Source organism: Homo sapiens, chromosome 3, assembly GCF_000001405.40.
Source record: "Homo sapiens chromosome 3, GRCh38.p14 Primary Assembly".
Lineage (NCBI taxonomy): Eukaryota > Metazoa > Chordata > Mammalia > Primates > Hominidae > Homo > Homo sapiens.
The window spans coordinates 142,346,759-142,373,361 of record NC_000003.12 but is presented as its reverse complement, the minus strand read 5'-3'; the positions used below and the strand labels follow the sequence as shown (position 1 = coordinate 142,373,361).

Genomic DNA, 26,603 nt, shown 5'->3' with positions numbered 1-26,603 from the left:
CTGGACTGATCCTTTTAGTTTTATCTCTCCTCATCCATTTCCTATATTGTTATACTTCTGTTCTACTTTGGGAAATTCATTCAACTTTATTGTTTATCATTTAAAATTTCTATTTGATTTAATCATTTTAATTTCTAAAAGTGTGTCCTTATTCTCTGGCTATATATAGCATCTTGTTCTTACAGTGAATGGAATATCTTCATTTATTTCTCTGAAGATAATTCTAGGATTTATCCTTCTATTTTTTGTGTTTTCTGTTTTCTCTAATTGCTTTTTTTCCTCCTGTTTGATTTAGTCTCTCTTGCAGTGTTAAAGTTTTGTTGTTGTTGTTCTTGTCTGATGATCTTTGATATCCAATTATATTTAAGAATGAGGCACTAAATAGCTGATTGGAAATTTAGTGTACTTAGGTGGGGTTTATCAGGTGGATCAGGAGGGACTTTCCTGTTTCTACAGAGGACCTCCTAGTATCACTACCTGCATGTTTATCTTTTCTTTCCCGGAGAGGTGGCCTCCACCCTTTTCCTTGACAGTGGATATGAATGTAGTGGATTAAACTGATTGCCAGTATTCTGGAAGTTAACCAGGGAAAGAAGGTTTCATTACCAAGTGGATACTGTGATACACCTCCCAGACCACTTTTCAAGACTGAAAGACCTATCCCCTTGCAGCAGGAATGCTGCTTTCCGGCAGCCCTCAGCTGTGAGCCCTCTTTAGTAATTGCCTGGATGAGGAGAACTGCCTCAACTAAGGTTACTTTCCCTTCCCACAACAGCCGCAAATCAATGCCCAATCTATAAGGAGGTATAGAAACCCAGACATTCTGATTGTCCCAATTCATGGCAAGTCTGAAGGGCCATCCCAGTTTGAGATCTTTGTGGGGCTGTTCAAGGAATTCATTGAGAATTGGTCACAGCCCATCCTCTTCCTGTGCCCAATTCTGCTTTCTTCCTCTCCCTTCCCTTCCACGGGTGTTGATCAAACAAGCACTCCCTACCTGCATGCTTATCTCCATCCCAGAGTCCATTTCTAGAGACCTTATGCTTCCTAGTGACACATTGTATAGTATTTATGCTTTCATTAATTCACTGTTTTCAGTATAACACCTGTCCTCTCCTCCTTATGCCTTCCTCACCCCTAAGTCCGTGACTGGTATACACAAGGCTAGAGTATCTATTTGACCTCTCTAAAATATACGCTACAGGTCATATGCTGGGGTGGTAGGCAGGCAACCACATGACAGTATAACTGCTTGTTATACAAACTTTAAATCTTACTAAACCTCACCCCACACTTTCAAATGTACCTGGAACCTATAATTCCTGAGCTTTTTCAGAGTGTTCTGTGTTTTAAATCAACTTGCTTCTTATTGACTTCCCCCACTGGTAGTTCAAGATTCAACTTATTCCTGTCTGTCAAATCAGATAATATTCATTCATCCAGTTTCCAGTTTCTAAAATTTTAACAGGTTATATATGCCACCAGATACCGTGCTTCATTTTTCATCTGTCTCTCTAGGTCTGTGCTCTTTTTTATACTATATTGTCATTTTAATGGATTGGAGAGGGATGGAAGATAAGCATATACGTTCAGTTTGCTATATGTATCGAAAAGTCCTGCACTCTTCAGAAAGAAATGGAGTTTTGAAAATTATCAGAAGATGCTTTTAATCTATTTTAATTTGTTGTATTGTGGAGTGCTCTAGTTTTGTTGTGAAAATTAGAAAACTAACCTATAGATACCATTTTTGTCTATCAGCTGTCATTTTAATGAAAGAGAGTAGAGTCAGTAATTGAAGTTTATTATAAGTTTATGACTTGAACCTTAGCCAGTGGGAGTTTTTTGAGGGTCTAGGAGTACTCTGACTTACCAGTCTTACACTTTCTATCACTTTTAATAATATCCCTTATTAATATTATAGTAGTCCTCAATAAGCTTTATATGTTTCTTTAGGATCTGAAATTATTATGTAGGAAGTTTATCCGAAATTAACCATATATATTTTAAGACAATATTTTTGTTTGTTTGACCAGAGCTCCAGAACTATTTAGTTATATAGCCAAAAATAGCCAAGAGGATGTGTTCTATGAAGATGACATTTGGCCTGGAGAAAATGAGAATGGGTAAGCAAGATTTATGATATTTATTACCTCATAGTTCAATTCAGTGTTTTCAATGACAACTGCAGCTGGTTTCTCAAGAATTTCATATTACTTTTTTTTTTTTTTTTTTGAGACAGGTTCTTACTCTCTTGCCCGAATGCAGTGGCTCAAATGTGGCTCACTTTAGCCTTGGTTCCCTGGACTCAAACAATCCTCCTACCTCAGCCTCCTGAGTAGCTGGGCCTATTAGGCGTACGCCTCCACATTTGACTAATTTTTTTTTTTGACTCCTAGGCTCAGGCCATGCTCCTTGGCCTCCCAAAGTGCTGGGATTACAGGCGTGTCTTGTTACTTCTTTTTGTTTTGTTTTGTTTTGTTTTGTTTTTTTGCATTGTTTCATTTTTGCTTTAAGAGCTTAACAAATTTTCTTTCATTTATATCAACAAATACTTTTAAACTAATCTTTTTGTGTGTCTTTTAATTACTAAGAGGTAACATGTCCATATTTATATTAGATTTAGAATTAGTCCCGATTAAGTTCAGTGACTAATTATTAGTTATATAAGTTTTATGTCTTTTATAATTTATAGCCCTGAGAAAGTTTTAATCAAATTTTAAAAATTATTGTTTTTGCTTTAGTGCTGAAAAAGTTCAAGAAATTATTACTTGGCTAAAAGGACATCCTGTCAGTACTTTATCTCGTTCTTCTTGTGATTTACAAATTCTGGATGCAGCTATTGTTGAGAAAATTGAGGAAGAAGTCGAAAAGTGCAAGGTACTAACTTTCAGTAACCAAGATTATTGATGAGATTTGGAATTAAATGGACTATACTTTACAAATAATTCATTTGTGTTTCAACCAAATAAAACATATACTTAGTGATTCTAATTAGTATCAAATAATCCTGTAATTTAAAAAAGTTCTAACCATTTATAGTAGCTTTTAGTAGCCAATAGTGTTATGCCAAATTTATATTGTATAGCACTAATATGTTAATGGCTACATTAGCCATCATAACTAATTATAAACTTATAAAATTATATTTTCAATATACAAAAGCCATAGTATTTAAATTTTATGCCCTTGTAGTGTTTCCAATATTGAGAATTAATATTTTGTGATTTTAGTTACAGTAGAAAGTTTGAGAATAAGGTTAATAATCCCCTATTTCTTCCTGTTCTAACTACATTCTTTTTTTTTTTTTTTTTCTTTGAGACAGAGTTTCTCTCTGTTGCCCAGGCTGGAGTGCAGTGGCAGGATCTCGGCTCACTGCAACCTCCGCCTCCCAGATTGAAGCAATTCTCCTGCCTCAGCCTCCTGAGTAGCTGGGATTACAGGCGCCTGCCACCATACCCAGCTAATTTTTGTATTTTTTAGTAGAGACGGCATTTCGCCATGTTGGCCAGGCTGGTCTTGAACTCCTGACCTCAGGTGATCCGCCTGCCTCAGCCTCACAAAGTGCTGGGATTACAGGGGTGAGTCACCACACCCAGCCTCTAACTACATTCTTTAAAGACACAGTTCATCTTTTTGTAGAACAAAAAAGTTTAATTGACTTTTGACAGTCAATTCTAAAATATACTCTTGTTTTTTTTTTTTTTTTTAATTTTGGAGACAGAGTCTCACTCTGTCACCGAGGCTGGAGTGAAGTGGCATGATCTCGGCTCACTGCAACCTCCACCTCCCAGATTCAAGCGATTCTTCTGCCTCAGCCTCCCATGTAGCTGGGATTACAGGTACCTGCCACCTCGCCCAGCCAATTTTTATATTTTTTAGTAGAGACGGAGTTTTGCCTTGTTGGCCAGGCTGGTCTTGAACTTCTGACCTCAGGTGATCCACCTGCCTCAGCCTCCCAAAGTGCTGGGATTACAGACATGAGCCACCGTGCCTGGCCTAAAATGTACTTTTCTTACTCATACACTCATTGAGTTACTAAAAATTTTTGAACTCCCTCAATCTCTCCTATTTCTTACGTCTCGCTTTCTTTTAAGGAGTAGACTTTTATAGTAGAGTTGCGTTGTTTTATCTATAGAAAATGAATTGATTATTTTGCCTTTTTCAACTTTTTATTTCATGTTTCACAAATTTGCCCTTTGTATTAAAATGCTGTTGCTTTGCCAACACAGCATTCTCTTGTTCGAACTAATTGCAGAATAAGTTAAGAACTGGGCTCTGGAGCTGTCTCCCCTAACACCCTGAGTTTGAATCGGTTTTTCAATATTAATAACCTTAGGCAAGATACTTAACCTTTCCTTCCATACCTCTGTTTCCTCATTGGTAAAATTAGAATAAAATAGTACCTGCCTCAGAGTGTCCTCAAAAAGATAAACTGAGTTAATATTGCGTAAACTACTTCTAATAATGCCTAGCTATTATTAATGCCTAATAATGCTTAGATGTTTTTATTAATTATTATTTAAATTATCCTATCACATACTGAAGAGCTGTGATTATAGTCTAGAAAATCACCACTAGATGACTCTTTTTCTCTTTAGGAAAAAATATAAGGCTCAGAGCCAAGAGTTTAATTTTTGAAAGGTCATTTATTTTCAGCTGAGGATAGAAAGCCTGTATTTCTTTTTAATTGCCTTTCAATGTAGAGTGAAATCAGTTTGTTCAGCATCATTTTTGAGGTGAGTTTTCCAGTTAACAAATGTTTAAAACCTTAAGCCCCCCAATTTTAACCCATTTGGATTCAGAGCTTTCTAAAATGTTTCACACATTTTCCCTTTACTTTACAAATGGAAGATACATATACAACGTCTTAGTCTGTGATATTGATTACATTTTAAAATATATATGTGCATATAGGCTGAGTGCAGTGGCTCACGCCTGTAATCCCAGCACTTTGGGAGGCCAAGGCGGGTGGATCACCTGAGGTCAGGAGTTCGAGACCAGCCTGGCCAACATGGTGAAACCCTGTCTCTAATAAAAATACAAAAATTAGCCAGGCGTGGTGGCGGGTACCTGTAATCCCAGCTACTCGGGAGGCTGAGGCAGGAGAATCACTTGAGCCTGGGAAGCGGAGGTTGCAGTGAGCCGAGACTGTGCCACTGTACTCCAGCCTGGGCAACAGAGCAAGACTCCATATCATTTTATATATATATGTGTTAAATTTATATGTTTATAAATTAAATGTTTATATAAATACATATTTATATATAAACATGTAATATATTAACTCCATATCATTTAATATGTATTATATATAATCATATATATGATCATACATATATGCATATAGATAAGACAGGAGTTTTCTTAAACCTGTTAATTTGTCAGGGAGGTGCAGTTATGAGTGATTTTTTTTTTTCTTTCAGGATTATGTTACTAGGGCAATAAAAGGAGAAAAAACTAAAAAACACTGTAATTCTGAAGATCATTTAAACTTTTCTTAGTAATGCAGGATCATCATTAAAAGTATTAGTAGTTGGCTGGGCACGGTGACTCACAGCTGTAATTCCAGCACTTTGGGAGAAGGGTGGATCACTTGAGGTTAGGAGTTTGAGACCAGTCTGGGCAACATCTCCACAAAAAATAAAAAAATTAGACAGGCATGGTGGCACACGCCTGTGGTCCTGGCTACTCGGGAGGCCAAGGCAGGAGAATTACTTGAGCCAGGGAGTTTGAGGCTGCAGTGAGCTATGATCACGTTACTGCACTCTGGCCTGGGTGACAGAGGAAGACCTTGTCTCAAAAAAAATAAAAAAAAAAGAGTCAGTTTTCTTGTTGGAACATGGTTTCCAAACTCTGCTAATTATCAAAATTACTGGTAGAACTTTCCTTCCATACCTCTATTTCCTCATTGTTAAAATTAGAATAAAATTCTGGGTTCTTCCTCTAGAGCAGTGCTTCTCAAACTTTCAGGTAACAAACAAATCACCGGAGAATCTTGTTAAAATATAGTTCTCATTCAGTAGGTCTGGGGTGTGACTTGAGATTCTGGCATTTCTTTCTTTCTTTTTTTTTTTGAGACGGAGTTTCAGTCTTGTTGCCCAGGCTGGAGTGCAGTGGTGCAATCTCGACTCACTGCAACCTCTGCCTCCTGTGTTCAAGCGATTCTTCTGCCTCAGCCTCCTGAGTAGCTGGGACTACATGCAGGCACCACCATGCTCGGCTAATTTTGTATTTTTAGTAGAGACAGGGTTTCTCCATGTTGGTCAGGCTGGTCTTGATCTCCTGACTTCAGGTGATCCACCTGCCTCGGCCTCCCAAAGTGCTGGGATTACAGGCGTAAGCCTCTTCACCTGGCCAAAATTCTGCATTTCTAATAAGCTCTTAGGTGATCATATTTTGAATAGCCAGTCCCCAAACTTCTCATACATTAGATATGGGTTGGGCCTATTATGAACATTACCCAGCTTATTCATTTGCCTGATGAATCAGTTTTGATCCATGTCCTCTAATCAATGCTATAGTGTAATAATGCCTGTTAATGTCTTAGAGCATATGGGTTGTTTTTTGATGTGCAATACCCCACTGTGCCTGCTTTTTAAAGTTCCCTTAAATCTCTTCATAGTCTTTCCTTTTGCTGTTGTAGTCTTTTAGTGCATCTAGTCGGCTGTGGGCATAGATACTTTGTCATTAAGGCCTTCACTGTTCACTCTATTAAAATTGTAATGTCTCCCCCTACTGCTGTCCTCCTTAACTGCTTCATTTTTCTCTAGGCTTTTTACCTGCTAGCATGCTATATATCTTCCTTATTTTGTTTCTTGTATATCTCCCTCAACTAGAGTAAGAGAACAGTTCACTGCTTTATCCCCAGCACCTAGATTAATCAATATACAGCATACAAATGGATCTCAGTAAATATTCATTGAAAGAATAAATGAAATGCCTCATAACAAAAGAAAATAGACACTGTTTAAAGGCTTGAGCATTTTATAGTATGTAAATACATGAACCCTATAGTTTATGGATTCTATAGCCTGGATCTGTTCTGTGTCCTTTTGTACATATTCCCATAAGCTATGTTCTAAAGAGAGGTGACTGCCATATAATTAAACTGCTGTAATTTTTAAAATTCGATAAGAATTAACTTTAAATTTTTTTAGTATGAATAGTAGTTTATAAATTGTAAAGGATATAAATTTTTCTCACTTTTTTATTAGATAGAACAGATAATATGTCCATCTTACAGATGGAAGGAGGCTGATGCCTAAAGTAGTTAAGTGTGAGTTCACAGAACTAGCAAGTATCAAAGATAGGAGAAAAGTCTTCTTCCAGCATTTTTTAGATAATGAAAAGATTCTAATATCGCATTTTACAATAAATTCAAAGCAAAGGGTTTTGTCAAATGAATGCCACCATAATTTTTATAAGTGGCCACAAAATTCATGGTATTGTCATAGGTCAGTACTTGATACTTTTTAAAAATATATACATCTTTGTTGGCCATTGTATGTAATTCTTTTCATAGTTATAAAAAAGACATTTGAATAGGATAGCATTTATATAAAGGCCAAAACAGACAAATGTAATCTTTTGTGTTAGAAGTAAGGTTACTTCTGGAAAGGGTAGTAACTGGGAGGAGATGGAAAGGATTTCTTGTGTTGTGCTTAGCAATGTTGTTTCTTGAACCAGGTATAGTTATACATAGATACACTATAAAAGTTCATTGGCCTATATACTTATAATTTTGCATTTTCCTCCCCATGCTGTCTTATACTTCAGCAAAAAATTTTACTTTAAAAAATTTTTAAATAATGATTTAGGCTATAGGCATTTTATATGTGTTTATTTCTTCTTGCTGCAGCTGCAGAACTTTAAATATTTTAAAAATTAATCTCTTCATTTGGCTTTTTAAAATTCAGACATGTGGAAGTAGTGAGTAGGTAGTGATTTTATAATTTTATATTTTAAAAATATTTAACAATTTTTCTTTTTCCTCAGCAAAGAAAGAATAATAAGAAGGTGCGAGTAACAGTGAAACCCCATTTGCTATACAGAGTAAGTTTCCTATCAAAGAATTCAGAGTTGTTGCTTTCACTTTGAATGCATGGAAGGAGCAAAGATGTTTTCAGTATATTAGTATGAAAATTTTTTTGTTTATTATAATTAATAGCTTTCTTCTCTTCAGCCTTTAGAACAGCAACATGGAGTCATTCCTGATCGGGATGCAGAATTTTGTCTTTTTGACCGTGTTGTAAATGTGAGAGAAAACTTCTCAGTTCCAGTTGGCCTTCGAGGCACCATCATAGGAATAAAAGGAGGTAATATCCTAATACTTGAAATGTCTTCAACGTAATTTATATTGTAAAGTAATAAACAGGCTTGTCTGTTTTTTATATCTAACCAGAAAGTGACTATAAATCAGGAACAAACAATCTTTTTATGTTTTAGTTAAATTTTTTTTAGGTTATACTTTTCAGAGAAAAAAAAATCTCTTCTGTTTTTTATTGTATAATCTGGAAAGAGATTAAAAGGAGAAACTGAGAAGGGGCTGCTGAGAATTTAGTAGTTTTATATCACATTAAAATTATGCAAGATCTTGGTGAGCATACATATGTTTTCATGAAACTGATAATTTTCATTGCTTCTCCTGAGTTTCATTGCTCAGAGCTTTATTTTCATTGTAATCACTTATTTTCTGAGATTAAATTTCATTGTAATCACTTAGTTTCTGAGATTAAATATATATTACGTTAGTTACAGTTAAAAGACTTGAAAATTAAATGTGTATATTAATTTGGACTTTATGAATACAACTAAATTACATATATAAAATAGACCTATCAATCTGTTGCACAACAGTGTGCATACAGTTCACATTACTGTACCATACGCTTAAAAGTGGCTAAGATGGTGAAAAAAAAAATCAGAGAAGGGGGAAAATAAGGAAGCAGCAGCTAAATATCTGAATGTGCCCCCAAAGATATTCCTGGAATAACCAGCTTTATAGCATAGATTCAAAAAAAGTTAGTGCCAGCATGAAGCAGCATCATGCACCCAGGAGTCAGTGTGCTGGCAGCACCATTCCTCTATATATATCCCAGGCACCGAACCTCTTGGTCTCACTATCCCAAAAGTAGGAAGAACAGACGGGCCACTAGCTGAAGAGAACTGCTTAATTAGTGCCAGCAATGTGCCAGGCACTAACATATTTTGCATTTAACCCTCACTATCACCCAAGGGGTGGGTGTTATTTCCTCACCTGATAAGTTAAGTAATCTTCCTGTGTTTACATAGATAAGTGGCAGAGCTGGGATTTGAACTCCTTCCCCTGATTCCTACCTAAATTTGAACAGTGGTTCTGTACATTTTCCATTTGTAGATCCTCTTTGAATCTTCCTGCCCACATAACTAAAAGAATTTTCTTCCCTAATTTTTTTGTTTACTTTTTTGGAAGACTCACTATTGTTAAAATGTCAGTGAAATCAGTTGCTTTGATTTATACAGTCAAAGAAATCCCAATCAAGATCCCAGCAGCCTGTTTTGTAGAAATTGATAAGCTGGTTGTAAAATTTATTTAAAAAGCAAAGGCTCTAGACTAACCAGAAAAAATTGAAAAAGAAGGACAAAGTTGGAGAATTTACCCTACCTGATTTCAAAACTTTACAAAGCTAGAGTAAAATTTACAAAGCTAGAGTAAACTTTACAAAGCTAGAGTAAACTTTACAAAGCTAGAGTAAACTTTACAAAGCTAGAGTAAACTTTACAAAGCTAGAGTAAACTTTACAAAGCTAGAGTAAACTTTACAAACTAGAGTAAAATTTGCACTGAAAAACGGTGTGAATTAATATGAAGATGACATATAGATCAATGGAATATAATTAGAGTCCCGAAATAGACCCAAACCTGTATGGTCAATTGATTTTACAACAATGTGCCAGGATAATTTGATGAAGAAGGGATAATGTCTTTAACAAATGGTGCTGTCCCCGTTAGTATAGTGGTGAGTAATAAGAAAAAAAATGTAATTTAATTTAAAAATCGTGCTGTATATATTGAGGACTTGTTTAGTGTAAAAGAAAAAAAATGGTGTTGGAACAATTAGACACCATATGCAAAAAAAAAAAATCCACAACTCCTTACCTTACATCTTCTATAGAAATTAGCTCAAAATGAATTGAAGACATAAATGTAAGAGCTAAAATTATAGAACTTTTAGGAGAAAATCTTAATAACCTAGAATTCGGTAACGATATCTTAAATAACACATAGAGAGTCTGAAAGAAAATTGCCAGCCTGGTGCCGTGGCTCACACTTGTAATCCCAACACTTTGGGAGGCCAAGGCGGGAGGATTGCTTGAGCCCGGGAGTTTGAGACCAGCCTGGGTAACAACGTGAAACTCTGTCTTTACTAAAAAAATTTTTTTTAATTAGCCAGGCATAGTGTTGTGCACCTGTACTCCCAGCTAATCAGGAGGGTGAGGTGGGAGAATCACTTGAGCCCAGGAGATCGGAGATGCAGTGAGCCATGATTGCACCACTGCACTCCTGCCTGGTTGACAGACTGAGACCCTGTCAAAAAAAGAAAGAGAGAGAGAGAGAAAAGGAAGAAAGGAAGGGAGGGAGGGAGGGAAGGAGGAGAAGAAGGGAAGAAAGAAAGAAAAGAAGGGAGGGAGAGAAAAAGAAAAGAAGAAAAGGCCGGAGCAGGAGGGAGGGAAGGAAAAAGAAAAGAAAAAGAAAAAGGCCAGGGGAGGGATGGAGGTGGGGGTGGGGGCGGGGGTAGGGGGGACGAAGAAAAAAAGGCCGGGCACTCATGCCTGTAATCCCAACACTTTGGGAGGCCAAGGCGGGTGGATCACTTGAAGTCAGGAGTTCAAGACCAGCCTGGCCAACATGATGAAATCCCGTCTCTACTAAAAATACAAAAATTAGAGACGGGCGCAGTAGCTCATGCCTGTAATCCCAGCACTTTGGGAAGCCAAGGCGGGCGGCTCACAAGGTTAGGAGTTTGAGATTAGCCTGGCCAATATGGTGAAACTCTGTCTCTACTAAAAATACAAAAATTAGCCAGGCATGGTGGTGCATGCCTGTAATCCCAGCTACTTGGGAGGCTGAGGCGGAAGAATCACTTGAACCTGGGAGGCAGAGGTTGCAGTGAGCCGAGATCATGCCACTGCACTTTAGCCTGGGCGACAGATCGAGACTCCATCTCAAAAAATATATATACAAAAATTAGCCAGGAATGGTGGCCGGCACCTGTAATCCCAGCTACTCAGGAGGCTGAGGCAGGAGAATCTCTTGAACACAGGAGGTGGAGGTTGCACTGAGCTGAGATCACACCACTGCACTCCAGCCTGGGCAACAGAGCAAGACTCTGTCTCAAAAAAAAAAAAAAAAAAAAAAAGAGAGAAAAAGAAAAGAAACAAAGAGAAAATTGCTACTTTAGACTTCATCGAAATTAAAAAAAAAAAAAACTCTCTTCAAAAGACACCATTACAGAAATGAAAAGGCAAATATTAGCAAAACATAAATCCAACAAAATGCTTTTATTTAGACTATATAAAAGTTTTTTTACAACTTAACCCAATTTTTAAAATGATCAAAATAGCTGAACAGATATTTTACCCCAGAAGATACATGGATGGCAAATAAGCATATGAAAAGATGCTCAACATCATTCGTTGTTAGGGAAATACAAATTAAAACCAAATAAGATATTACCACATACAGACTAGAAAGACTTGAATTTAAAAGAGTGATTATACCAAGTGTTGACAATGATATAGGGCAACTAGAACTCTCCTATATTGCCAGTCGTAATGTAAAAGATAAAACCACTTTGGAAAGTAGTTTAGTGGGTTCTTTTTTTCTCCCCCCATTGGTGGGCTATCATGATGTAGGTAAGTCCTTAAAAAGTTAAACATACATCATAGCATAGGGCCCAGCCATCCCATTCATAGGTGGGTATTTACCCAAGAGAAATAAGGGCTTAAATCCACATAAAGCCTTGTTCATGAATCTTCATAGCAGCTTTATATGTATGTAATAACCAAAAACTAGAAATAATCTAAATCCCCATCAGCAGATGAATGGATAAACAAATTCTTGGATACATATGCAGTGGAATACTTCTCAGCTATAAAAAAGAAACAACTACTGATAGACACAACATAGGTGACTCTCAAAATAATTATGCTCGAAGAAGCCAGACAAACGAGGAATACACATTATATTATTTCATTTACATAAAATTCTACAAATGTAAAGTAACCTATGGTGACAGCAGAGTTTTAGTTGCCTAGATTAGGAGGATTCGGATTACAAAAGGACATGGAAAGTTTTGGAAGTGATTATCCTATTTATCATGGCTTTATGGTTAATTATGTATGTTAAAACTCATTAACTTGTATATTTCAGATATGTGCAGTGTATCATATGTCAGTTATACCTCAGTAAGGCTGTTTTGTTGTTGTTTGGTTTTTTTTTTTTTTTTTGAGACGGAGTCTCGCTCTGTCGCCCAGGCTGGAGTGCAGTGATGCAGTCTAAGCTCACTGCAAGCTCCACCTCCCGAGTTCATGCCATTCTCCTGCCTCAGCCTCCCAACTAGCTGGGACAACAGGCGCCTGCCACCATGCCTGGCTAATTTTTTTTTTTATTTTTTATTTTTAGTAGAGACGGGGTTTCACTGTGTTAGCCAGGATGGTCTTGATCTCCTGACCTCGTGATCCACCTGCCTCGGCCTCCCAAAGTGCTGGGATTACAGGCGTGAGCCACTGCACCCAGCCCAGTAAGACTGTTTTTTTTTTTTAAAAAAGTACATGCCCTAAGACTCAGCAGTTTTCACTTTTAACCTAGGGAACATTCACCTGCATAAAGGACACATTTGCATGTTCATTGTAGCATTGTTTATAATAGCAAAAGTTAGAAATCACCTAAATGTTTATTGGCAGGAGAGTGGATAAATTATTGTATACCCATAGATGGGATACTATATATCCAGAAAACTGAATGCACATGTTTACGTGGGTGAATCTCACAAATATAATGTTGAAAGAAAAATAAGTTGCAAAATAATATATTCTCTATGATATCATGTATATGTTTCAAAACTTGCAAAACAATACTATGTATTATTCATAGATACATATGTATGTAGTAGAAGTATAAAGAAACATAAGGAATCATAACTGCCAAATTGAAGATAATGTTACCTAGTTGGGAATTGGGACAATAATGATCCTCTAAGGCACTGGTATTCTGTTTCTTAGCTTATATAATGTTCCTTATATTAATATTATGCCATTGTTCATATCCTGAATATTTTATATCATATCTAGAATTTTATAATAAATACTTCCAAACACTCCAAAAACTTATCTGTTGATTTTTCATCATATGATTTTTTAGTGTCTCTTTTTCTCTCCCTATTGTAACAGCTAATAGAGAAGCCGATGTACTATTTGAAGTATTATTTGATGAAGAATTTCCTGGAGGGTTAACAATAAGGTTTGTATTTCCCAATGATAATTGCCCTTTGTGAATATGTTCATGTGGCCAGTGACTTTACATTACTTTTTATTTGTTTACAATTTCAGTTTGTGGGATGTGTAAGACGTACTTGCTACTAGGGATGTAACACTGAATAAGGCAGACATGCTTTCTACCCTCAGAGAGCTTTCATTTTAGTGAGGGAGGTAATTAAGCAACCGATTACATTATTAATTATTTAATTAAAGCATGGCAAGTGCTAGGAAGAAGTGCAGGTTTTTATAAAGAGTATGACCCATCCTGAGAGTAACAGAAAGGCCTCTTTGAGGAAGTGGTATTTAAGATAGAACTTGAAGAATGAATAATAGCTAACCAGGGAGAAAAGGGGGGAATAATGACATTTGCACAGGAAGAGGGAATAGCATATGTAAACAATGCTATTAGGGTTAAATAACTTGAGGAATAGAAATGTCCTTTGAAATTAGTGACATGTATGTCTTTGTCACCAATTTTAGTGGAGTTGTAGGTACTCACGACAGATTGGCATGATTTGACAAGTGAATGGCAGGTGTAGTAATGGAGACAGGAAATTGAGGCAACACTTGGGAAGTTTGACTATAAAGGAAAGGAGAAAGTTAACTGGAGGTTAGGAGGTTTAAAGGAAGAGGGTTAAATTGTTTTTAATTTAACACAGATAAGACAAGTGTTTTGGGGGAAAGTGCCAATAGAAAGTTTAAAGTTATAGGAACAAGTATCATGATAAAATGAGAGGCACCATGGTGTAAACTTGCAGTTAAACGTTGTATTTCCTTGGGTAGGTTAATTAAGTGTCTGACCCTCAATTTCCTCATCTATAATGAAGATATATACATACTTCCCTAGGTTATTGTGAGGATGAGATGAAATCCTTTCCAGTTTTCTGCTTTCTAAAAATCAGCTGGAAAACTGAACTGAATTTAGCTTAGTTTCCTTTTTTCCTCTATTTTGATAAGTGAGTAATTAAAATAAAAAATTAATTACCCTTTTTTAACCTCCTTACATGAACTCACAGTCTTTGGCTGTTATACCAAGTAGTCACCTTCAGGATGCTATTATTATTGTTTTGCAACTTAAATATGCTTGTTATTCAAAGACTTTTCCGGTCTACACTCTTCACATACAGCAGCAGAATCCGGATCTCCTGTCTGATTTTATTTTTCATGAAAGTGTTTGATTACCAATACCTTTGATTCACTAACTTTCCAAAATATATTTTAAGTATATTTTTGTGGTTTTTTCCCCCCTCTCCTAGTAAGGGACAGTGAATTTACTGACTGATAGAGAGCTGGGTAAAAGATTACCTGCCTGCAGTGTATTCATTTCTGTAATACAGAATCTTTAGTAAGTTTAGTTCTCATGAAAATAGATACTTCCTAGCAACCTTGAACTTACAAAGGTTTCTCATAGAAATCTACTTTTCCACTTTCTTTCAATATAAGAAAATTATACTCTCAAAGAGAAAAAAAATAGGTGATAGAGTTGAAAACTTAACAAGAGAAGGATTCTTTAATATCTGACACGTTTATCAAAGCCATGAAAGATGGAAATCACAAATACTTGTCTCTTAAGCCTTTCCAGGTACAGGCCCAGAACTTTAAGATGGGAAAATGAGGGAAAAAAGGGCTGGACTCCACATTTGACCGATAGACAAATGAGATCAAAGCTGACATTTACCCTGTTGCTTAGGAAGAGCTATACTGAGAATGGTTCCATGCTCCTGAGCTTTCATAACCTAGACTGCCCAAACCATAGTTTTCGTTTTTTTGTTTTTGTTTTTGTTTTTGTTGTTGTATTTTGTTTTTTGAGACAGATTCTCACACTGTTGCCCATTCTGGAGTGCAGTGGTGCAATCTTGGCTCACTGCAGCCTGCATCTCCCAGGTTCAAGCAATTCTCCTGCCTCAGCCTCCCGGGTAGCTGGGATTACAGGTGTGTGCCACCATGTCTGGCTAATTTTTTTGTATTTTTAATAGAGACAGAGTTTCAACATGTTTGCCAGGCTGGTCTTGAACTTCTGACCTCAAGTGATCGACCTGCCTCGGCCTCCCAAGTGCTGTGGCTGGGATTACAGGCATGAACCACCATGCCCGCTCCACAGTTTTTAAGACGTTCGAGGCCAGGCATGGTGGCTCATGCCTGTAATCCCAACACTTTGGGAGGCTAAGGATGGAGGGTCATTTGAGCCCAGGAGTTCAAAACCAGCCTGGGCAACATAGTGAGACCCTGTCTCTAAGAAAAAATAAAAAAGCATGCCAGTTGTGGTGCCTTGCACCTGTGGTCTTAGTTACTCAGGAGGCTGAGATGGGAAGACTGCTTGAGCCCAGGAGTTCGAAACTGCAGTGAGTTAGGATATAGCACCATTGCACTCCATCCTGAGTAACAGTGAGATCTCATCTCTCAAAAAAAAAAAATTAATTCATAAATTTTCAGTTGTATTCAGCAATTAAGATGCAAGCTTCTTAACGACAAATCGACACACACCCCTAGAACATAGTTGGGTTTTCTCTACTTAGTAAATACTAAATATGCTCTTAGGAAAGTTTTTAGAAATACATCATCTTATAAATTGAGCTATTGCTGTGATTTGAGGTTCCTCTACCGAATTAAAAAGTAATATTTACTAATGCTGATGATGGATTGTCCACCAAAAATTATTTGACTTTTCTCCCTAACACATTTAGTATTGTTTTCCTTCCAACCCTGATATAACTTTTACTTTTAGATGCTCACCTGGTAGAGGTTATCGACTGCCAACAAGTGCCTTGGTGAACCTTTCTCATGGGAGTCGCTCTGAAACTGGAAATCAGAAGTTGACAGCCATCGTAAAACCACAACCAGCTGTACATCAACATAGCTCAAGTTCATCAGTTTCCTCTGGGCATTTGGGAGCCCTCAACCATTCCCCTCAATCACTTTTTGTTCCTACTCAAGTAAGACTCTCAGTCTTTAACTTCTCCTCTACCCCTTTTACAAATCACAAATCACAGCAGACTTTGTAAATGTAAACCTAATTTAACTTAGTTTCCCTCTTTTATTTAAAAAGTTTTGGCTCAGGTCAATTCCAAATTTAAGATACTAGGCTAATAAAGAATGCTATTGCTAGCATTCTACCTCTGCTATAAAATAACAGTTGTATTAAAGGAAAAAAGTGTATTTAAATAAGGAACTTAAGAATGTCCATGCTTTCTCTGTAAATGTTTACATTTCAAGTTAACATTTAATTTTTTTCTTGTATAATCCAAATGTCCTATGCTATCTGCTATAAATAACATAAATTTGAAAGATAAAGGGCAAGGATTATATCACGTTTATCAAAAGCAATTTTCAAGTTTCTACCATACAATTTATGGGTGATTTCCTTTATTTCCTCTTTCTGGGGACAAAAATTGAGTTGTCTTGTGTGAGACACTTTATTTAATTCCATGACCCCAAATCTCATGCTTATTAAGTACGTTTTTTTAACCCAAATAGTACCTGCTTATTATAAACCAATTGGAAAACACAGATAAGTAGATGATAACAAAGGAAACACAAGCAAAAGTCCTCTAAAATCTCATAGGTTACCACTGTCAAAATTTGGTGCCTATTTTTCCAGAGTTTTAATCTTAATAGTTGATATTTAAATTTATTAGATTATTTTGTGTAAGGTGAAGATTTTAAAAATAAAATCTTTAGGTGTCAATTTGAGTGAGAGAATGTATTTTAATACATTAGAAGACAAAAAACCTATTGGTGGGATATTGATTCAGTATAATCTTTTATAGTGTTTGTTATGCTTTAAATATTTTTCAACAAATAAAACCATTCAAAACTAATTGCATATAAAGAACACCAGTTTCACTCTCATAGAATACTTTTGTGATTACTATGCTGAGCTTTAGAAAAAAAGGAACTAAGAGATTTCACATAATGAAAGTTAGTTTAGGGGTGGACGTGGTAGCTCACATCTGTAACCCCAACACTCTGGGAGGCTAAGGCAGGAGGACTGCTTGAGGCAGTAGTTCAACACCAGCCTGGGCAACACAGCAAAACATGGCAACCCATCCCTAGAAGAAAAAAAAAAAATAGTTGGGCATGATGGTACACGCTTGTAGTCCTAGCTCCACAGGAGGCTGAGGATTGAGCCCAGGAATTCGAGGTTACAATCACCTATGACCCCACCACAGCTCCCCAGCTTGGGCGACATGAGCAAGACCCCACATGAGTAAGACCCCAAGTCAAAAAAAAAAGGTTTAATATCCTGTCTACCACTGAATAACATTAATAGATGAATTATTTGATTTTTAATATGTATTTTTATTTCTTCCTATTTCATTTTCTCAAGAAATTGTTTGTACTTTGCTAGGTACCTACTAAAGATGATGATGAATTCTGCAACATTTGGCAGTCCTTACAGGGATCTGGAAAGATGCAATACTTTCAGCCAACTATACAAGAGAAGGTTAGTATTCCTTGTTTTGATGGACAATTAATTTAAAGAAAATATATTTTTATATTTTTCTTTTAAGACTACAATGATTATTTTTCTGTGACATCTCATAAAATAGAAAATGACAATTTTGATCATGAATTTTCTTTTTCTTTTTTTAAATAATTTCAACTTTATTTGTTTTAGGTTCAGGAGATACATGTACAGGTTTGTTACATGAATATACTGTGTGACACTGAGGTTTAGGGTACAAATGATCCTGTCACCCAGGCAGTGAGCATAGTACCCAATAGGTGGTTTTTCAGCCCTTCCCCCCTCCTCCCTATCTTCCCCCATCTGTAGTAACCCCCAGTGTCTGTTATTCCCATTTTTATGACCATGTGTCCCCAATGCTTAGCTCCCACTTATAAGTGAGAACCATATAGTATTTGGTTTTCTGTTCTTATATTCATTCACTTAGCATAATGGCCTTCAGTTCCACCCATGTTGCTGCAAAGGATGTTATTTCATTCTTTTTTATGACTGCATAGTATTCCATAGTGTGTATTCTGTGGTGTATATATACCACATTTTTAAAAATCTGGCCGGGCACTGTGGCTCACACCTGTAATCCCAGCACCTTGAGAGGCTGGGGTGGGTGGATCACTGGAGGTCAGGAGTTCGAGACCAGCCTGGCCAATATGGTGAAACCCCATCTGTACTGAAAATACAAAAATTAGCCAGCTACTCGTGATGGTGAGGCACAAGAGTTGCTTGAACTTGGGAGGCCAGAGGTTGCAGTGAGCCAAGATCGCCCCATTTCACTCCAGCCTGGGCGACAGAGTAAGATTCAGTCTCTAAATCAATCAGTTAATCAATCAGTCTTATCTACCATTGATAAGCACTTAGATTGAGTCCATGTCTTTGCTATTGTGAATAGCAAATGCAACTCATATATGTGGGTATGTGTCTTTTTGGAAGAACGGTTTATTTTCCCTGGGGTATATACCCAACAATGGGATTGCTGGGTCGAATGGTAGTTCTGTTTTAAGTTCTTTGAGAAATCTCCAAACTACTTTCTACAGTGGCTGAACTAATTTACATTCCTACCAGGAGTTTATAAGCATTCCCTTTTTTCTACAGCCTCACCAGCATCCGTTATTTTTTGACAGCCATTCTGACCGGTGTGAGATGGTATCGTCTTGTGGTTTTGATTTGCATTTCTCTGATAATTAGTGATGTTGAACATTTTTTTCATATGTTTCTTGTCCACTGATATGTCTTATTTTACAAAGCATCTATTCATGTTTTTTCCCCATTTTTTAAAAATTAATTTTTTAATTAAAATATAAATTTTCTTAAGATTTTGCTAATCTTCTCTGTACCATTCCAATTTTAGTATATGTGCTGCTGAAGCAAGCATCTTGTGCCCATTTTTAAATGGCATTATTTGTTTTTTGCTTGTTGAATTAAGTTCCTTATAGATTCTTGATATTAGACCTTTGTCAGATGCACAGTTTGCGAATATTTTCTCCCATTCTGTAGTTGTGTTTACTCTGTTGATAATTTTTTTAGCGAGCAGAAACTCTTTAGTTTAATTAGGTCCCACTTGTAAATTTTTGTTTTTGTTGCGATTGCTTTTGAGGACTTAGTCATACATTCTTTTCAAGGCTGATACTCCAAGTGGTATTTCCTGGATTTTCTTCTAGGATTCTTACAGTTTGAGGTCTTATATTTTAAGTCTTTAATCCATCTTGAGTTAATTTTTGTATATGCTGAAAGGTAGGGGTCCAGTTTCATTCTTCTGCATATGGCTAGCCAGCTATCCAGCATCATGTATAGGGAGTCCTCACCCCATTGCTTGTTTTGTTGTCTTTGTCAAAAATCAGGTGGTTGTAAGTATGCCATTTTATTTCTGGGTTCTCTATTCTGTTCCATTGGTCTTTGTGTCTGTTTTTGTACCAGTACCATGCTACTTTTGTTACATGGCAGATACATGGTAATATAAACTTACAGTATAACGTGAAGTCAGGTAATGTGATGTCTCCAACATTGTTCTTTTTGTTTAAAATTGCCTTGGCTATTGGGCTTTTTTCTGGTTCCATGTAATCATGAATTTTCATAATTATTTTCAGACCTTAGTTTCTGGACCAATGAGTCGAGAGTATAGATAATTTTTGTTTTAAATCAGCTTTAGGGTTTTTTTAGTTATTTACGAAGTCATAGTAACTATATTTTAAATTCAACAAAGGCCGTTATCGCATTTAACAACTTACTTTTTCCACTTGAATGTGTCACTTTATGCTGGTAGTTGGTTATCTTAAATATGAATGAACAAATATGTATTCCTTGGTAGAGATTAAGAAGAGAGAAAAAGTGCTGCTAAAAGATTAGAGACTCAGACAAAGAAAGGAAGAGGAAAGGAATAAATTCCTACTACATGTTTTGCTAGTTACCTATCTTCTCAGCTTAGATCAAAAAGGAATGTTTGGCGAGGCGTGGTGGCTCATGCCTGTAATCCCAGCACTTTGGGAAGCCAAGGCCGAAGGATTACTTGAGGTCAGGAGTTCAAGACCAGCCTGGCCAACATGGTGAAACCCCATCTCTACAAACAATACAAAAAATCAATCAGGTGCTGTGGTGGCACACATGTGTAGTCCCAGCTACTCAGAAGGCTGAGGCAGGAGAATCACTTGAACCCAGGAGGTGGAAGTTGCAGTGAGTCAAGATTGTGCCACTGCTCTCCAGCCTGGATGACAGAGCAAGACTCCATCTCAAAAAATAAAAAAAGGAATGTTCAAGTTTATAAACCAGTAGCCTGTACCTTCAGACCCTCATTTATTCTAATGTCCTGCAGTAATGGTGGCATTATCAGAGATAAAAGAGAAAATTACAAAGGGAATATAAACATAAATGGTAAAATAAATATAAATAATAAAATAAACATAAAAAATTAGTGTATATGTCATAACTTAAAGAATAAAGAAAAAAATTAAGGTGACAAGATACGTAGTTCTCCTCAGCCAATATGCTATTATAAGCTTTCTTTAGGTTATCTATAAATTATTTTGTTTTAAACTATTTGAATCACAAAACCTGATTTCCTGATTCTGAGTCCAGTACTGTACTTACTGCACCACACTGCTTCAGGGTATAAACTGGGTTCAAACCCAAGAGATACTTTGCCCAATTATGCCTTGGGGCCAAAACAGATGACAGGGTCTTTAAGAAAGATTAATCAGGCAGCAGTATGTAAGAAGGACTATATGTGAAAAAGATAGGAAACAAGAATCGTAGTTAGAAGGTTAATTTAGGCCAAGGATGACGATCTAAAGTCCAGTTGCAGGAACTGAGGAGGAGTAGAATGATAGAATGATTTATAATATCATTGTAAAAATAATGTTAGAAAGCAAAAATTTTTGACTCTAAGCATTTTAGATTATATGCCTGAGGAATGGTGGTGTTAGAAATAAGGGTAAGAGGAGTAACTTTAGGTGAGGCCGATTCTGGGACCTTTTTTTTTTTTTTAACTTAAAAAAAAATGTTCTTCTTCTCTCATGCTGCCTTGTCTAAGATGGGACACCTTGAGGTTGAGGTGATGGTGGAGTATCCAGCTGTGATATCTGTCCTAGAAAGTTGCAGATACTGGATTAAATCTTGACTGAGGTTCAAATCAGAGATATAGATTAGTAATACTTAGCAGAGAGGTTACAGTCAAAGTCATTAGTCAAGCAGTAAGGCAAAAAATGAAAAGAAAACTGTTGTTGGATTTGGAGGAACGTTCCTCAGTAAAAGATTAAGAGAGCGGGAGGGAGTTAATTAAAAAGTTGAACAAATAGATAAAGGCAAGAATTGCTTCCTTTTAGAACAAAACTTGAAAAAATTGTCTATACTGGCACCTCTCTCCCCCCTTCTCTCTTAAACCCACCCTAATCGGTCTTTCATTCCCATCACTTTATGGAAACTGCCCTTTCAAGGTTCCCAATGACCTTTGTGTGCAAAAACCGTGTGATCAAGTCTCAGTTTCCATCTGAATTGACCCATCAGCAGCATTTCATACAGTTGATCACTCAGTTCTCCTTGTCATCCATTCTTCACTTGTCATTGGAATACCACCCTTCCCTGTTTTTCTTCCTGTCTCATTGGCTGTTGTTTCTCAGTCTTCTTTGTCAGTTTCACCTAAACTCTCGGGCTCTTTAAAGATGGAATCCTCTAGGGCTAAATTATTGGACTTCTTCTGTATCTATACCCATTTCCATAGATAGATAGATAGATAGATACATAGATACATAGATAGATACATAGATAGATAATTATAGACAGATAGATAGATGATAGAGAAAAAAATAGATTTAGATAAGATAGATATAGATACACACACAAACATATATACCTACAAAAGTACATACATCATGTCTCCCAAACTTCTCTTTCCAGCTTGGAAGTCCTCCATGATATTTAGACTCAGTGTTCAACCCTTCATCTCCACTCAAATGTCCAACTCTATGTCTCCACTTGGGTACTTAATATACATCTCAAATTACCATGTCCAAAATTGAACTCTTGTTCTTCCCTCACAAACTTACGTTACCTAATGTCATTTCCATCTCAGTTAATAGCCACTCCCTCCTTTCACTCAGACCTTAAGAGTCACATCCTTTACTCCTTCCTTTCTCTTTTACCCTCATATCCAATTCATTATCATATGTAAATCTCTTTCAAATATGTCTAGAATTGGACCATTTCTCACAGGCTCCTACTACCCTACTCCAAATTCATACCAACTCTCACCTTGATGGTTACAGTAGTCTAGTAATCTGCTTCCATCCTGGCTCCTCTACAGTCTATTCTCAAGACAGCAGGCAGAGTGATGCTATTAAAATATGTCAGAGATCATGTCCTTCTGCTGCTCAAAACCCTCCACTGATTCCCCGTTTCACTGAGTAAAAGCCATTATTTTTATATAATGGCCTGGAATGTCCCATACAATATTGATGTGTCACCTCTCTAATCACATTTTCTATAACTCACATTTTTGCTACAGCCATAATGGTCTTCTTTCTCTTCCTTGAGTATGCCAGGGATGGTCCCCACAACAGGGCCTTTGAGTTTGTCTGGAATACTCTCTCTCCTCAGAGAGAGGCTTATTTCCCTAGGCTTCTGTGTCCTCATGTATACAATGAAGTTCACTTAGATGACCTCTAAGGTCTTTTCCAGCCACAAAATAGTATTGCTGTAGTACTCTGGAATATATACAGCTCCAGGGTTGGAATCCTGCCTCAACTCCTCAAACTAATGTCTAAGGCCTTCTATAATCTAACCCCACCTAATTATATGATGTATGTCCAACCATTTGGACATAATAGTCTGTTCTAGTTAGACTGGTCTCTTTACTTTATCTTTCCCACAGATGATTCCCATTTGGGGTTATGTGTTCTTTTTGTTCCTTCCACTTAGAATGCCCATTTTTTCTCTCACTACAAATAACCCCCTAGGTCTCAGTCAAAATCTCCTATTTCCTTGAGAATCACTTGATATTATATTTTCTCATTATCTCCTACATGCAACCCCTCTTACTTGGTGCTATTTCATTGTTTATTTCAGCTGAACACTCTCATGTTTTATCTCTTAAATGTCCTAAGAATTATGAGATCCCAAGTATAACGCATATGCATTAATAAGCAGCCTAACCTGATGAGCAAATTCAAGAGAATTCACTGTGATAAGAAATATTCAAGCTTTCATTGGCAAAACATGGCAATGTGTACAAATACCTTTATATAGATATCAAACAGAACACCCTAAAGAACTATACCCAAATATTTGCTTACTAATTAAACATATGGCTTACCTTTTCTCTGAAGTAGTACTGTGAACATGGATTTTGGAGTTAGAGCTCCAAAATAATGTAAATAATAATATTATATTATTTACTATTTATTTTACTATTTAGTTAGTAGCATTACTATAATGATATTAAAATAATGGGTACACAGTTCATTTACCATACCTGGCACATAGAAGACACTCAGACAATACTTGTTCTATCCTGATGTTCTAATTCTTCTCCTTAGAGTCAAAATCACCCATAATGTACTGCTGTAGTCCAAAGCCCCACCAGCCATTGTGCCATGATGATAGAAATCTCATGCCATTTTGACTCTTAATAACTGAAAAGCTGGCCGGGCGCAGTGGCTCACACCTGTAATCCCAGCACTTTTGAAGGCCAACGCAGGTAGGTCACTGGAGCCCAGGAGTTCGAGACCAACCTGGGCAACATGGCAAAATCCCATCTCTACAAAACAATACGAAAATTAGCCAGGCATAGTGGCACATACCCATAGCCCCAGCTATTCGGGAGACTGAGGCAGGAGGATCACTTGAACCCAGGAGTCGAAGGTTGCAGTGAGCCAGGATGACCCCACTGCACTGCAGCCTCAGTGACAGAGCAAACACCCTGTCTCAAAAACAAAAAACAAAACTGAAGAGCCTTGGGCTGGGCACAGTGGCTCATGCCTGTAATCCCAGCACTTTGGGAGGCCAAGGCAGGAGGAACACTTAAGCCCAGGAGTTCGACACCAGCCTGGGCAACATAATAAGATCCCTGTCTCTACAAAAAAAATAAAAAATAGATTTTTAAAAAACTGAAGAGTCTTGAGTGTTTCTGTCCATGTGATCTCATTAGGTCTTCCTTGGTACTCCCATGCATATCACAACTATTTTGGAGCATGCCCACTACCAGTTAGGACATGTTGTGTCTTTGTACCCAGTGTCCATTTGTCTGTGCTGATAAGAAAGTAAATAGAGCCTACCAAAAGCAAAACGGTGAAATAATTCATTTGTATTGACCTTCTCTAGCCTCCACTTCTGCTGCTTCTTGTTGCTTCAACTGTGGGAAATTGTCTATCTCTTTTTGCATTCAGGCTTTCTCTCCCTATCCAAAAATGAAAGGATCTGATAGAATCTTCATATGAAATTTATGCCATTTTGCTAATTCTGTCTATGAACTGTCTCAATCACTGTAACTTTATCATCAGTCTGGCTATTTAATATTGAAGGCTTCCAACATTTAAAAACCTTGACAATATAAATATTAATAAAAATCAGGTATTGGGATTGTTATTAATCCCAATAAAACATGGGATTAATAAAAATTAACATGGAAGGGAATGTAAGTGTGCTAACATCCTCAATTTTCATAATGTAGAGCCAGAAATGATAAATTTTTTAAAACTTTTTAATGGAAAAGTTTAACCATAATGACATCAAGTAAATAGAATGAATGAACCCACCAGTATTCATTCCCTGCCATGCTCTAGTCCAGTACTATTTCTTCTATAACCCCTACTCATTTCCCACCTCCACCTACCCAAGGGATGGGATTATTTTGAAGCAAATCTAGGGGGATCTTTAGAGACTGATATTTCTCTAAAGGTGAAGAAACATTTACCTAAAGTTTAGTATTTTGTTTGGTTTCTGCATTTGTTAACATCAAGCAAAATTAGATTTAATTCTTTTATTGAAAGGAGGATTTTTGGCTGGGTGCAGTGGCTCATGCCTGTAATCCAAGGACTTTGGGAGGCCGAGGTGGGAGAATTGCTTAAGGCCAGGAGTTTGAGACCACCGTGACCAACATGGTGAAACCCCGTCTCTACTGAAAATACAAAAACTAGCCAGGCACGATGGTACTCACGTGTAGTCCCAGCTACTCAGAAGGCTGAGTCATGAGAGTCACATGAACCCGGGAGGCAGAGGTTGCAGTGAGCCGAGATTGTGCCACTGCACTTCCAGCCTTGGTAACAGAGCAAGAATCTGTCTCAAAAAAAAAAAAAGTAGCATTTTTATAAAATGATTGTTTTCTTTATATCTTGCAAACTAATGCATAGAAAAAATATCTAGAGTGATGATCATTATGTTAATGAGTCTGGTGATAGAGTTCAAGTGGCTTTAAAAGTCTCTATACTTTTCTGTATTAAGTTTTTTTCTAAGGAACTATATAATTTTTATAAAAATGTATTTATTAAAAGTTGAAGATAAGAAGTAGTTATAATATTAAGATTTTGTTTAATTTATAAGAATTTTAATTTTCAGGGTGCAGTTCTACCTCAAGAAATAAGCCAAGTAAATCAACATCATAAATCTGGCTTTAATGACAACAGTGTTAAATATCAGCAAAGAAAACATGACCCTCACAGAAAATGTAAGTTTTAAATTAGAAAGGTGTACTTGTGTGTGCTGCTTCTTTTTTAAAAAAATAAACATTTTATTGATATAATTTACATACCATAAAGTAAATTCATTATTTTAAAGTATACGATAAGTGGTTTTTTGTATTTTCACAAAATTGTATAACCAACACCACCATCTAAATTTAGAACATTTTTTGTCACCTGAAAAAGAAACACCATACCTATTAGCAGTCACTCCTCCAGGCCTTGGCAACCCATAGTTTACTTTCTGCCTCTATGGATATGCCTATTCTAGACACTTCATATAAATGGAATCAGAAAATATATGAACTTTTATGACTGGCTTCTTTCACTTGTGTATTTTCAAGATTTATCTATGTTGTAGCATGTTCAGTCGGCCCTCTGTACCTGTGGGTTCCACATCCATGGATTCAACCAACTGAGGATCAAAAATATTCAGAAAAGGCAGGGCACGGTGGCTCATGC

The 26,603-nt window shown here is 36.7% G+C and overlaps 1 protein-coding gene across 11 annotated transcripts in view; it reads left to right on the top strand.

The window, feature by feature from the left end:
* XRN1 (5'-3' exoribonuclease 1) overlaps positions 1-26,603 on the top strand; it is a 141,428-nt gene that overhangs the window by 74,676 nt on the left and 40,149 nt on the right. For all 11 annotated transcript variants that reach the window (XM_047448357.1, XM_047448356.1, XM_017006640.2 and 8 more), the window contains 8 exons: positions 2,034-2,123; positions 2,742-2,877; positions 7,996-8,052; positions 8,183-8,315; positions 13,431-13,500; positions 16,243-16,450; positions 17,866-17,961; positions 26,020-26,128. In XM_047448357.1, coding sequence (XP_047304313.1) covers positions 2,034-2,123; positions 2,742-2,877; positions 7,996-8,052; positions 8,183-8,315; positions 13,431-13,500; positions 16,243-16,450; positions 17,866-17,961; positions 26,020-26,128 — 899 coding nt within the window. The remainder of the gene's footprint in view (positions 1-2,033; positions 2,124-2,741; positions 2,878-7,995; positions 8,053-8,182; positions 8,316-13,430; positions 13,501-16,242; positions 16,451-17,865; positions 17,962-26,019; positions 26,129-26,603) is intronic.